The 13608-nt window shown below is 41.9% G+C and overlaps 1 protein-coding gene across 5 annotated transcripts in view; it reads left to right on the plus strand.

Annotated features, from left to right (window-relative positions):
* Positions 1–13608, plus strand: part of PLXNC1 (plexin C1) — a 159099-nt gene that overhangs the window by 66560 nt on the left and 78931 nt on the right. For all 5 annotated transcript variants that reach the window (NM_005761.3, XM_006719186.5, XM_047428050.1 and 2 more), the window contains exons 6-9: positions 4880–5027; positions 9092–9179; positions 11469–11571; positions 12013–12099. In NM_005761.3, coding sequence (NP_005752.1) covers positions 4880–5027; positions 9092–9179; positions 11469–11571; positions 12013–12099 — 426 coding nt within the window. The remainder of the gene's footprint in view (positions 1–4879; positions 5028–9091; positions 9180–11468; positions 11572–12012; positions 12100–13608) is intronic.

Here is a 13608-nt window from a genome sequence, read left to right on the forward strand (position 1 = left end):
ATCTGCCCGCCTCGGCCTCCCAAAGTGCTGGGATTACAGGCGTGAGCCACCGTGCCCAGCCTTAAGGCTATTTATAATTTATCATAGCAAAACCTTATTAATTAAAAACATAAGCATAAAGAAAAATAAAAACAAAAATACACCAAGTATTTTCTTAGAATATATGGAAAACATCTTGAACATATTCAGGCATGTTCTACATTTCTTGGTGAGAAGATATCATAAAAATGTCACTTCTTCCTCACCTATTTTTCTTGATTTCATGTAATTCCAATGATTTTTGAGTTAGTGTTTATTTAAAATTAATATAAAATTCATCTGGAATATCATGAGCTGATCAAGAATATCCAAAACATATTTTGGAAAAAAAAAAGAAGTCAATTTAGGCAAGACCACTCCCATTAGATTGCAAACATAGATGATAGATAGATAGATAGATAGATAGATAGATAGATATCAAAAATAATTTAATCCATGATTCTGGTTTAAAAATAGGAATATAGATTCATAGAATATAGTGGAAAGCTCAGAAATAGATGTAAAAATTTTAAAGAACAGATATCATAAAATAAGAGGAAACAAAAATTATTTCATAAAATGTGTGAGATAACTGGCTTATACTATGGAAACGTAATTTCATATTTTACATTAAATATAAAAATAAAATTTAGACTAATTAAGAAATTGATATGTAAAGCAAAGTCACAGAAGAACCAACAGAAAATGAAGTTGAACATAATTTGAAAGTATGATCATTTATTTTACCTCTGAAGCAATATAGTATGTAATAACAAAAGAAAAATATTCATATACATGATTTCCTTTTACAAAAAATAAGAGTTAACTTGGCCAGGCATGGTGGCTCATGCCTGTAATCCCAGCAGTTTGGGGACTGAGGCGGGCAGATCACCTGAAGGTCAGGAGTTTGAGACCAGCCTGGCCAACCTGGTGAAACACTGTCTCTACTACAAATACAAAAAAATTAGCCAGGCGTGGTGGCAGGTGTCTGTAATCCCAGCTACTCGGGAGGCTGAGGCAGGAGAATCGCTTAAATCTGGGAGGTGAAGGTTGCAGTGAACCAAGATCGTGCCATTGCGCTCTAGCCTGGCTGACAAGAGCAAAACTGTGTCTCAAAAAAAAAAAAGAGTTAACTAAAGCACACACTTCAGGAAAATATTTGCCACTAACAAAATATTCATCATAATGTAATAACACTAAGAAAAATTAAAAAGAAAAACATCAATACACCAAAAAGTAAGTGGGCCAAAACACATATATTCTCACAAGAGGAGATTCAGAAAGTAGATATAAATATGGAAATATGTTCAACCTCACTAGTTTTCAAATAAATACAAATTAAAGCGATAATAAGCTATGCTAACACCCAGTGTTGGTGATGCCAATTAGCACAACCTTTTTGGAAAGCAATTTGGCAGCATGTTTCAAAAGTCATAAATATATTCATTCCGTTTGAAGCATTAATTTCAGCCTTAGAATCCTGAGGAAATAACTTGAAAGAAGAAAATCCCTAGGCATGAAGATGCTCTTGCCGTAGCATTTATAGAATTAGAAACCTGGAAATAATGAAACTGTTTAGCAATAACGAATGATTCAGTAAAATAAGATATGTCGATCTGATAAGAGTGTTGTGCAGCAAGCAATTCTTTGGCCTTGTGAATGTTGCGGGCTAATTGACACCCCAGCTCCCTCTGCATCCCACCTGCCCTTTAAGTCTTCACTCCCTCTTTATCCAGCTTGATTCACGAAAAAGCCATCAGCCTGGTAAGGAGTCCTATACTGGGTTTCTTAGGACGAAGCTTCAGCTTTTTAACTGTACTCGCCTGGACCCCAAGTTACGCAAAAATACCTTCACCTCACTGGCTCCTCTCTCCTTCCACTGCACCTGAAAAAAACATGCTGTCTCCTCTTTTCAGGTCCACTCCAACCTGGTTTCTGCCCCAGTGTTCCCCTGAACCTGTTCTTGCTAAGGTCACTAGTGAACTCCATGCAGCCATTCCAGCGGACACTGTAAGGTCCTCATCTAACTTGGCTGTTAGCCAGCATTCTTGAAACTGTCTTTTCCATTGCTTTCCATGGCACGCCCACTCCATGCTCTCCTCCTTCTCTGTGGCCAGGCCTCAATTCCCTTGCTGGGCCTTGCTGGTCCCTTCCCTCCCTGTCTCTAAATATTGGAGCCATTTAAGGCCCAGTTTTGGCTCTTCCTCTCTTCTTACTCTACATTTCGTCTGTAGACAATCTTATTCACTTCCATGGCTTTATAAATCATCTGTATGTTCATGTCTCCTTTATCCCCACCCCAGATTGATCCTCTGAGCTCCAGGCCCATACCCAACTTGACACATTTGCTTGAGTATCACACAAGTATCTTGAACTACATACACCTAAAGCTGAAGTCTTGAATCTTCTACCCATCTGCCTCTCCATCAGTATGCCCCATCTCCATGTATGGTACCTCCATCCATCCCATTTGCTCACCAGCATCCTCCATATCCACATCCCCCACTTCCAGTCCTGCCCCATGCCACTTCTAAGGGGTACCTTGACTGCCTCGTTCTTTCCCTTTTCATTGTACCATCTTAGCTCAGTCATTTCTTGATGATTCCTTGATACCATGTGACCTTCCAGTTTTATTCTGGTGGAATGTTCTATACTTCTACTAGTCTATAAGCTCTTTGAGGGCAAGGACCATAGCTGTTTGGTTCACTGGTATATTCAGTACATTGTGCAGCACTTGGCACATGTTGCAAGCTTGATGAACATTTATGGAATAAATAAATGGAATAATTATAGTTATGTAAAAGCTACATATGTGAGAACTAGAAGGAAATGTGGAAACTTTAAAAGAGTTGGTGAAAATGTGATTTTTAAAAATTCTGATACTCTTGTTATAACGTTTGAGTGTGAATTCAATTTAAGACATATATGTATACAAGATAAGATGTGTGGTGCGGATATAAATGCTGCGTTGAAGATTGAGCATGAATGAGAGTTCAGGCATTTGTTGAAGATGAGTTAGTGGGAATGGTTTGGGATCTTTCACTGTGCTCAGAATTCCCTAAAGATAATTGAACTCCAGTCCAGGTGAAGTGGACTGAAAGAACTTGCCTTCTTCCAGCATGATAATATGGCCAGAACTTTTTGAAAATGGGAAGATAGGGGTGACCTCCGGGGACTAGATTAGACTTAGCAAGCTTATCAAAGAACCAGGGAGACAGCAGAGTCTTAGGTGGCAGTGCCTAAGTCTGGGAGGAAGTGAGAAGTATAACAGAAGACAGAGAGCTGCCAGGTTGTCTAGACTATGGCTCTTCATAGGGGGTGATAAGGTTACCACTTCCTGCACTCCCAGGTTCCTTTTACTTAGCGCTCATTCCCATCAGATCCCATCATGCGCCTGATGCAAAAGGAGTCCACTGTTGGCATGTTAATTCCTATAATTTCCCTTCTGAACAGGACACCTGGCTGCCTTGTTCCTTTGGACCATTTCCTTGGGAAAAAGTTACTTTGGGGACATTTCAAGATTGTCTTTTTGTGTCCCTACTATACACACACACACACACACGTACAGGCACACAGATGTATCCCTGTACACATACAAACATACACACACAAAAACACTCCCTCCACCCAATTTTGATCATATGTTTGACCACAAGCAAAACCTTAACTAATTCTAAAGCACATTTCACAGGCCACCTTCTTTAATCATTATCTAACAATATTAGCAATAAGGAATAGTTGACAAATGTATCTTCACACCTAGGATCATCAAGGCACGCTGTCTTAAATGAACCCCAGATCAAAGAGAAACAGATGAAAAAAGTCATGTGTTTGGATGGGAATAATTAATATCATAAAGACAGAAATTTTTCTAACATTAAGGCATATATTTAATACAATTTCATTTAGACTCAGTCCCCTCAACCCCTTTGGATAAAATGAATATAGATGAATAATGCTCAGGAAATGGTAAGAAAATTATGAAAATAGAGATAAAGCAGGAGAGATTTGCCTTATCAGATGCTAAATATATTTAAAATTACAGGAGTAAAAACTTAATGGCATTGGAATAGAAGTAGATCAATAGATTATTAGAGCAGAGCAGAGTTCAGAAATAGATTCCAGATAAATGGAAATTTAATATAGGACAAAATGATATTTCAGTTCAGTGGGAAAAGGAGGTTTGTTTTTGTTTAATAAATGGCTGTGACATAATTGATTAACCATCTGGATAAAGTTGGACCCTTATCTCACACTGTATATAAAAATAAATTCCAGATGGATTAAAGATATAAGCTTAAAAAATAAAGCAATAAAGATGTTGGAACAATTTTATATTTGTCCATAAGCTAGAGTTTGGGAAGCACTTTATAGCCGAGACAAGAAACCCTGTATTTGATTACTCAAAAGCACATTGTGTAAGGGTAAAAGATGCCACAAGCAAAAGTTACAAGACAAACAATAGATTAGGAGAAAAATATGTGTCAGAAATATGACAGATAAAGATTAATATCTACACCATACAGAGAGCTCTTGAAAATTGATAAGAAAAATATACACACAAAGCAGAAAAATGGTCAAAGAATAAGAATATGCTCTTTACAGAAGAGCAAACCAAATAGCCAACAAAACATCTATTCTTTTATATTTTTATTTATTTATTTATTTATTTATTTATTTATTTATTTATTTATGGAGGCAGTGTCTTGCTCTGTCACCCAGAAACATCTATTCTTTACATCAGCTCTTCTGAGAAATTCTCCCTCCTGTGGCAGGTCAAAGGGTGAGATCATATGAGGCTCTATGATGGATGGAAATGAGGCAAAAATCATCATTTTTTCCCCATATCTTCCCCGCACAGACTACAGTGACTATGGTGGGAAGCTTCTCTCCAAGACACTCAAAGTGCATGGTGAAGAATGTGGACTCTAGCAGGGAGCTCTGCCAGAATAAAAGTCAGCCCAACCGGACCTGCACCTGTAGCATCCCAACCAGAGCAACCTACAAAGGTATGTGGATTCTTCTGGGTTATTTTTGTTATAAAATCAAAAAAACAAGGGAACCTCCTGAGTTTAGTTTGCCCAAGGAATATGAATAGTTCCCCCTCTGTAGACTCACTCCCTCACTACCCCCTGGTTCCCACTTTTGCTCTGGGTCCTCCTCACCTCTGGTTTACCTCATTCATTTACTCCAAGACCCCACTATCAGATATGCCTGGACAATGACAAGAGAAGGGCAAGTTGGATAGGAGAGTGCAGAAAAGCCAGATAGCACTGGGCCGACTACCCAAATGGTTTAGATAATTCAGAGATCTGAAAAGCAAGAAATGCCCTGGGTGAGATGAGAAATTTTAACAACCAATGTTCCATCAGTTTGAGTTCATTGCATTCATACATCCATCCAGGAAGTATTTACTGAACATCTACTATATGTGAGGCACTATGCTAGGTACTAGGGATACAGTGACTCCCCCTTGCCCCTAAAAAAAAGACTGTACACTGGGATAGAGAGAAGTAAGTAGCTCATTACAATGCAGTGTGTAAATACAGGGAACATAGAGTACCATGAGAAGCACATGAAAAATGTACCTTACCAGACATGGTGGAGGGGGAAGGGGTAAGGAAAGCTTCCTGGAGGAAGTGATGTCCAGACAAGGTGAGGGTAGAGTTGAGCCAGACAAAGACGATGGGGATGGGTATTTCAGACAGAGACCAACCTGCATGATGGCCAGGAGACAAAAAGCTTTATTTGAAGAACCAGAAGAGCTTCTACATGGCCAAGGCACATGGGGTAGGGGAAGGTGGAAAGGGGAGACGGAGGGAAGATAGATACCAAAGGAGGCAGCCAGGGGACCATGAAGGGCCTTGTGAACCGTGAATCCTGCGAGCTGTGATGAAACACTGAAAGGTTTAAGCCGGAGGCTGGCAGCACAATCAGATTTTTATTACAGAAAGGTTCCATTGTGCATTGTCTGTCTTTCCTGCTGGAATGTAAGCCCCATGGAGGCAGGGACTTGGAGAAGACATCTTCACTGCTGTGCTTAGAACAGTATCTGGCACAACGTAGGCATTCACAATCAATAAATGTTTCTTGAATGAATGAATGGCTTGAAGGTGGAGAATGGACCAAAGAAGGGAAAGACTGAAAGACTGAGTTCCAACAGATCACTTGGAGGGGTCCAAGTGAGAGAGAAAGTGAAAGCGGAAAGCTACTGGAGGGTCCAGGTGAGAGGGAAAGTGAGAGCTGGAGGAGAAGCCAAGGGGGATGGAGAGAAGTGGATTCAATAGATGGTCAGTAGGTACGGTGGGCAGACTGAGGACTCCTGAGTCTCTTCGAATGAGAAAGACTAGAAGTAGAGTTGAGTTCATGGAGTAGGTCTCCAGGACTGAGTGATGATCATTAATGGAGCTGAGTGGGTTTTATGGTGAGAGCTGGAGTTACCCAATATCTTAGTCCATTCTGGCTGCTATAACAAAATACCTTAGACTGGATAATTTATAAACAATAGAAATGTATTGCTTACAGCCCTGGTGACTGGGGAGTCCAAGGTCAAGGCTCCAGCAGATTCAGTGTCTGGTAATGGCTTGGCCTCTGACTTCGCAGATGGTGCCTTGTTGCTGTATTCTCACATACAGAAGGGGCAGGGGAGCTCTCTTAAGCCTCTTCTATAAGGACACTAATCACATTCATGAGGGTGCAGCCCTCATGATTTAATCACTTCACAAAGGCCCCGTGGCTTAATACTATCACATTGGGTATTAGATTCCAACTTATGAATTTAGGGGAGACATAAATATTCTGACCATAGCACCCAATTGATCCTAAATCCTTCAAAAGGCAATTTAATGCACCAGGCCAGAGAAGTGAGCTTAAAAATGCTCTCAGCCACTGGGTGGTGGCTGTTTGGGTCTGATTGCTTGGAAAATCACCTCAATTTTCCACTTTACTTTGTCCACACTGTGCAGCCTTTGTGATGCATTTCTGGTTAATTTTGTTCATTAAAACGCAGACCTTGCTCACCTATAAAATATGCCTCTAAAGTATTTGAGATCACCTTGTAAAGCTAGTTGGTTGCTTTTAGCGCCTCCATCCGTTGCACCCAACCCTTCACCTGCCGTTTTCTGAATATCTTACATATTCTGAACGGGCAAACAAATTTGCTTCCCAGCCTCTTGTACTCAGCCAGCCGGTGACCATTGCCAAGCCTTTATCCATGGCCTTCTTTAAACCTAGAATGGCTTCCCCCTTTCACAAAATCCTGTCTCCCTTTCTGCTTTGAAACATTGGAGAAAAGTCACCTCTTCCACATGCCCTTGCCAGATTCTGCTCTGACTTTCTCAGCCATTCTAACACCCCTTTGGTCCTCCATGCACACCCCTATCTTGGCACCCAGGTTACCAGAGGGAACTGAAACCACTCATATGGTTGTTTCCTTGACTGTGCTGTCATCACCTAAATTATTTTACCTCTTCCAGAATAACTGTAAATGCTTTCCTAGAAGAAATCATGAATATTCATTTCCTTGTGATATTTCCAAATAGAGTTTTGTGCCTATTTGGTGCTTGAAAAAAAGTATGACTTTTGCAGTCTTCATCACCGGACACTTATAGATTCCACTGGAGTGTATTTTCACTGGGAGTCCCTCTGAGCTGACTGTCCCTGTGTTCATTCTACTCACATGTATCAAGTGTCTGTTCAGAGGCTTTTGCAGAGAGGTCATGCCAGCCCTCCAAGCCTCTTTGTCTTGAGAACAGAAGATGATCATTTCACACACACCCTCTGTACGTGAACCGAATTTTATGTGGAATTCTGACTTTCAGAGGGAGTGTTATTGCTGTGGAGAAGGACCTTAAAGTAAGGGTTTTTAGACTTTGGGAACCACACACTAATAAAATTTCAATGAGAAAATTAGGGTTGCCAACGGAGTCAAGCCAGCTTCTTATTTTGTCAAGACTTAGATTTAAAAAGCACCCTCTCGGCCAGGCATGGTGGCACACGCCTGTAATCCCAGCACTTTGGGAGGCTGAGGCGGGCAGATCACTTGAGGTCAGGAGTTCAAGACCAGCCTAGCCAACATGGTGAAACCCCGTCTCAACTAAAATAAATAAATAAACAAACAAATAAATAGTACCACCTCCTATTCCTATTAATTCACCAAAGGAAAAAGATATTAATACCTTGTTATTAGCACTGGTCCGTGGACAGAAGGGGATTTGAAAGGTGCTATTCTGTGTTGTGGCCCCAAACCTGGGCTCTATACAATTGTTCCATGGGGAGCAATGCAACCACAGGTTCCTGGGTCCACCCCAGGCTTGCTAAATCAGAATATTTAGGGGCATGGCCCTGGGATCTATAGCTTTGTAAATTTCTCAGGTGATTCTGATAGAGAACTGGGTTTGGGAATCACTACCTTGGATAGAGCATATATGTTTAAAGAGATACAGGAAATACTACATTTCTCTAATGCTGATTTAGTAGTTTTGAAATCCTTGTTATTTTGTTCTTTTGGGGTTTTCTAACCAATGAGTAGGTTTTCAAAGGCAAATAAGAAAACCTTTATCACAGATTTGGTGACAGTTGACCCCAAGAAGATCGTGGAACCCAGCCCATGGAAACTACACTTTAGAGTATGTTAGGTAAATATTTGCAGCGTGGATTTTTCTGAAGGTGCAGGATTTCTAATGCTCCGGTTTTCATGTTCTAGGCACTTCTTGCTCGGTGACTTGTTTTGTTCTTATGCCTTGGCCAATTAAAAGCTGAGATAGTGATCCCTAGGAGAGTATGAGATGTAAATGAGCTGTAAAATGGCTTCTTCCTAGTGATTATTCATGGGAGGCTTGGAACTCGAGGTGGGTTCAGTCTGTTTGGAGGCTTGAGCTGTGCACTTCGGCTGCCTGATGCGAATGGCCTATGGGGAAGGAACCACATACTGATTGAAATGTTAGCAAACAGCTGGCACGCTCCTGCCCACTATGCAGAGGAAGCAAAAATATTTATCTTTTTTTGCATTTACAGCTATGCTTGACTATAGCAGGACTCCACCGTAAATGACATTTTCCCCCCTTCCCTCCAGATGTTTCAGTTGTCAACGTGATGTTCTCCTTCGGTTCTTGGAATTTATCAGACAGATTCAACTTTACCAACTGCTCATCATTAAAAGAGTAAGATTTTATTTGAAATTTGAATATTCTCTCGTTGATCTTAATTTACTTATTTGTTTGACTCCTCGATTTCCTAAAGAACTCTTTTGTGAGACAGAACTTTCCAAAATGCCTTTTGAAGCATGGTGTAATGGGAGATAGGAGAGCCACCGAGCTAATAAGCTCCGCTCGCACATTCTAGCCCTGACTAGTAAGCTGGCGCTGCGAGGGAGAGAAATCCCCTGTGCTTAAGTGTTCATACCCACAGGGAAATATGTCTTCCCAGGACCGAGAGGCAGCCTTGAAGTAAGTAAAGAAGAAGGGACAAGCCAGGTGTGGTGGCTCACATCTGGAATCCCAGCACTTTAGGAGGCTGAGGTGGGCAGATCGCTTGAGCCCAGGAGAGTTTGAGACCAGCCTGGGCAATATAGTGAGACGCCATCGCTACAAAAAAACACAAAAGTTAGCCAAGCATGGTGGTATGTGCCTGTAGTCCCAGCTACTTGGGAGGCTGAGGTGGGAGGATCACCTGAGCCTAGGAGATGGAGGTTGCAGTGAGCCGGGATGGCGCCCCGCATTCCAGTCTGAGTGACAGAGTGAGATTGTCTCAACAAAAAGAAGGAGCGCTGCTAGGTTCTCTTCTGATTGGAATGGCTTCGGGAATTTGGGCGGAACGAGAAGCCTTGAGTGTAGGGGTAAAAAGTCTTACTTGAGAAGGACAAGGTGAAGTCCCTTTCACCAAAAGAACATGTTCCTGCTGCCCCCCTTTTCACCATCTTTGGCCTCTTTGAGCTACATAGGCCCCTGAGTTAGTGCCAAACCTCACTCCTTGCTTCTAAAGCAGCAAGAGGACAGAGGAAATATGTTTCTCAGATGCCTGACTTGCCAATTGGAAGTTGGGATGGAGGCCTGCAGGGCACCTTGGGAGGCTGCATGAGTAGCAGTGCTGTAGATCACTGCATAGTTTGATTGACCAGTTATGTGAGCACCAAATGGGAGTTTCTTTTGTCCTGGCCTGGGAACCATGGTTTCTATGGGGAAAATGAATTTGAACTTGAAGCTGAGCTAGGAGGCTGCTCTTGAATGATTAGAACAGGAGCCCCTGGGCCTCATCTCTTCCACTGAGGCACTTTGAAAAAGATGACACAAGGCCCAGTTCAATTATTGCTAAGAAACAGAATGGATTTAAGGAGAAAAAAATACAAAAATTGCTACAGAAAGCCTCAGAAGTTCATGAAAATAGGAAAAAAGGGTGTGAATTAAATAGAATTATATAGCTCAAAGACAGTTGAAAGAACGTAGCTCCCCCGATGCCCACTTTAAGGCCAGATGAAAGGAACCGACTAGCCCCAGGTCCCACAACTTGGTAATTAAGAACCAGACCTCAGACCTAGGTCCCCCAGGGAGGGTGAGCGCCCTTTCCATAGGTAACTGCTTCCTGTTAGGAAAGCACTTAGTACAGTAATCACACCCTGGGGGTAGAAGAAGCGAGCAAATCACAAACCCGTGTCTAGCTCACTTAGGTGGCCGGATCCACGCAAAAGCCAGTGTGTCCTCTCCTTCCACGGAAACTGCAGTTTCTGTAGATCAGAATCTCAGAATGTTTCCTCATTTCTTGGAGAAGGTATAAAACAAACTGGGTCCCCCGGCCCTGTGCTAGCACCCCTTGCTAGAGCTAAGGCTTCCTCTGGCCTCCCTTGGCCCTGTTTCCAGATCAACCCTGATTTCCCTTTTTAACATTCCTTCTCATAAGTGCTTTTCAAGTCCTCCACAGTTTACCCAATCATGATAGGTGATTTGATTAGTAGAAACACAATTCTTCCTTAATTTGATTATAAAGCAAACACAGGCACCTCGTTGCCTCTGCTTGCCAGCTAACACTTTCTGTCTCACATCTTCCAGGCAGTTGGCAGTGTGACTGCTGGAGTGAGTGAGGGCTTCCTGATTTTGGAAGGCAGAGTGGGTAGAGGCGGGGAGAGAGAGAGATCCATCTCCAGAGGGACTTACCTGAGGGTAGACAAATAGCAGAACTGGATTCAGAAACAGATTCATTGGGTTCCTATTATCTACAGACCAGCAGGTGACCCAGCTTCAGGTTTCCATGGCAACACCCCTGCAGGTGCCATTCCGGCCCATCAACCTGAGGGCTTCCAAGAGCAGGGCACAAAGCCTCACAGGAATGTCTGTCCAGGGATTTTTTTTTTTTTTTGCCTTCTTTTAAATGCTTGCATGCCACATCACAGAGGGAAATTCTAGGATGTGAACATTGTCCTAAAACGCAGGAATTAAGTCAGTTTTCTGTGTTGCTAGATGCCCAGCATGCGTAGAAACTGGCTGCGCGTGGTGTAAAAGTGCAAGAAGGTGTATCCACCCCTTCACAGCTTGCGACCCTTCTGATTATGAGAGAAACCAGGTAAAGTGACATTTTTGGTATTGTAAGTCTTAACCGCCGGGCATGGTGGCTCACGCCTGCAATCCCAGCATTTTGGGAGGTCGAGGCGGGTGGATCAATTGAGGTCAGGAGTTCGAGACCAGCCTGACCAACATGGCAAAACCCTGCCTCTACTAAAAATACAAAGTTAGTGGGGTGTGGTGGCGCATGCCTGTAATCCCAGCTACTCGGGAGGCTGAGGCAGGAGAATCACTTGAACCCGGGAGGCGGAGGTTGCAGTGAGCCGAGATCGCGCCACTGCACTCCCAGCCTGGGTGACAGAGTGAGACTCCGTCTCAAAAAAAAAAGGTTTAACCAAAAATAAATGTTTGTGACTGCCTGGTCCTACCTTCTCTTTTATGTTTGTTGCACACTTTGAATTTACCACCCATCTGGATGTTGAAGGGATGTTCTCCATTCCAGGAACAGTGTCCAGTGGCTGTCGAGAAGACATCAGGAGGAGGAAGACCCAAGGAGAACAAGGGGAACAGAACCAACCAGGCTTTACAGGTCAGACCCTATTTTTGTGTGGTTGAGGGGAAAACCTGTCTTTGAATGACCATGACCACAACTCATACTACTTTGGGTTCCTTAAAAAAATTCTCTATTTTACTTTCTACCAAAATTCCCTTTTGTGTCTTTGGTTTTTTAACCAAGTTTCACTTAATTAGCGCAATACATCAATGGCTGGACACTCACATAAAATAAATTAAAACTCTGTAATTATGAAAAATGATGTTGCTCTGGTCGAAATAAAATTGTAAAGGTGACTTTGCGGCTCACTGGTGAAGAGCTGGAAGGAAGTTTAGCATTCCATCTGAGGGATTTCAACTTGCACTTTATATAATTGCGTTTCTGGGGGTTATGTGTGTGGATGGGGGTCTGTGCAAAGTGTGCAAACTAACCTCGATTCCGTTGTTTTTTTTCAACTTTGTAGGGACGTCTAACCAGTAGTGAACACTGCTAAACCAGAATTGTTATAGAATGTGTATTTCTCTCGCCTTCTCACAAGCAGTTATTAATCCATGAACTTTCCTTGGAAATGCCCGTTATTTTCTTCATAGTAAATTACATAAGCCCCCACGTCAGTCATGTTTGAAAAGAGGGGACATGTCAACGTAAACATTTCTGGGCGGAACACATGTGGCTGTGCTTACAACTTCACTCAGTCAACAAAAGTTCATTGAGCATCTATATGTGGTAAAACACAAAAAGAGGATAAGTCCTGCCCTCGCTAACCTTGGAGTCTAGCAGAAATAGACAAATTAAAAATGACAGCTCTGGGGAGAAAAGGGCTCCATTTTCCATTTCTCTAATCTGTGGTTTTGACTTCTCCACTTGCTGCTTACCTAAGGTCAAGTGCAAAGGTAAATAAGTAGCATATTTTGAATCATTACTGAAAAGTTTATAGTAACTTCAGGTGAATTAACAACCAGGCAGAGGGAATATGAATCAAATGGATATGAAGTTAATTAAAGGCATTAGAAAAGCTTGATGCTCAGGTATCTCCAGACTTTAGCAGTCTCTGAGGTCTTGTTAAGTAATGGGCTCCTTTTCTCATCCCATTGGTTTGGAAAACTAAGACACAGCGACAAGGACTTGGATCAGGAAGACAGTGGCTTTGTGGCTTTTTCTTTTTAATTAAACTTTGTTGTTGTTCCAGGGTTTGTTTGTTTGTTTTTTCGTTTTGATAAAATACACAAACAAAATTTACCATTTTTATTGCTTTTAAGTGTACAGTTAGTTGAGGTAAGTACATTCACATCATTGCACAACCTATCTCCAGAACTCTTTTCATCTTGCAAAACTGAAACTCTATGCTCGTTAAATAATAACTCTTCATCTCTCCTTCCCCCCAGCCCTTGGAAACCGCCATTCTAATTTTTTGTCTCTATGAATTTGACTACTCTAGGTACCTCATGTAATTGAATTTGTCTATTTGTGCTGGCGTCTTTCACTTAGCATGATGTCCTCAAGGTTCATCTGTGTGGTCGCATGGGTCAGAATTCCCTTCTTTTC

This window comes from Homo sapiens, chromosome 12, assembly GCF_000001405.40.
Source record: "Homo sapiens chromosome 12, GRCh38.p14 Primary Assembly".
NCBI classification, from domain to species: Eukaryota; Metazoa; Chordata; class Mammalia; order Primates; family Hominidae; genus Homo; species Homo sapiens.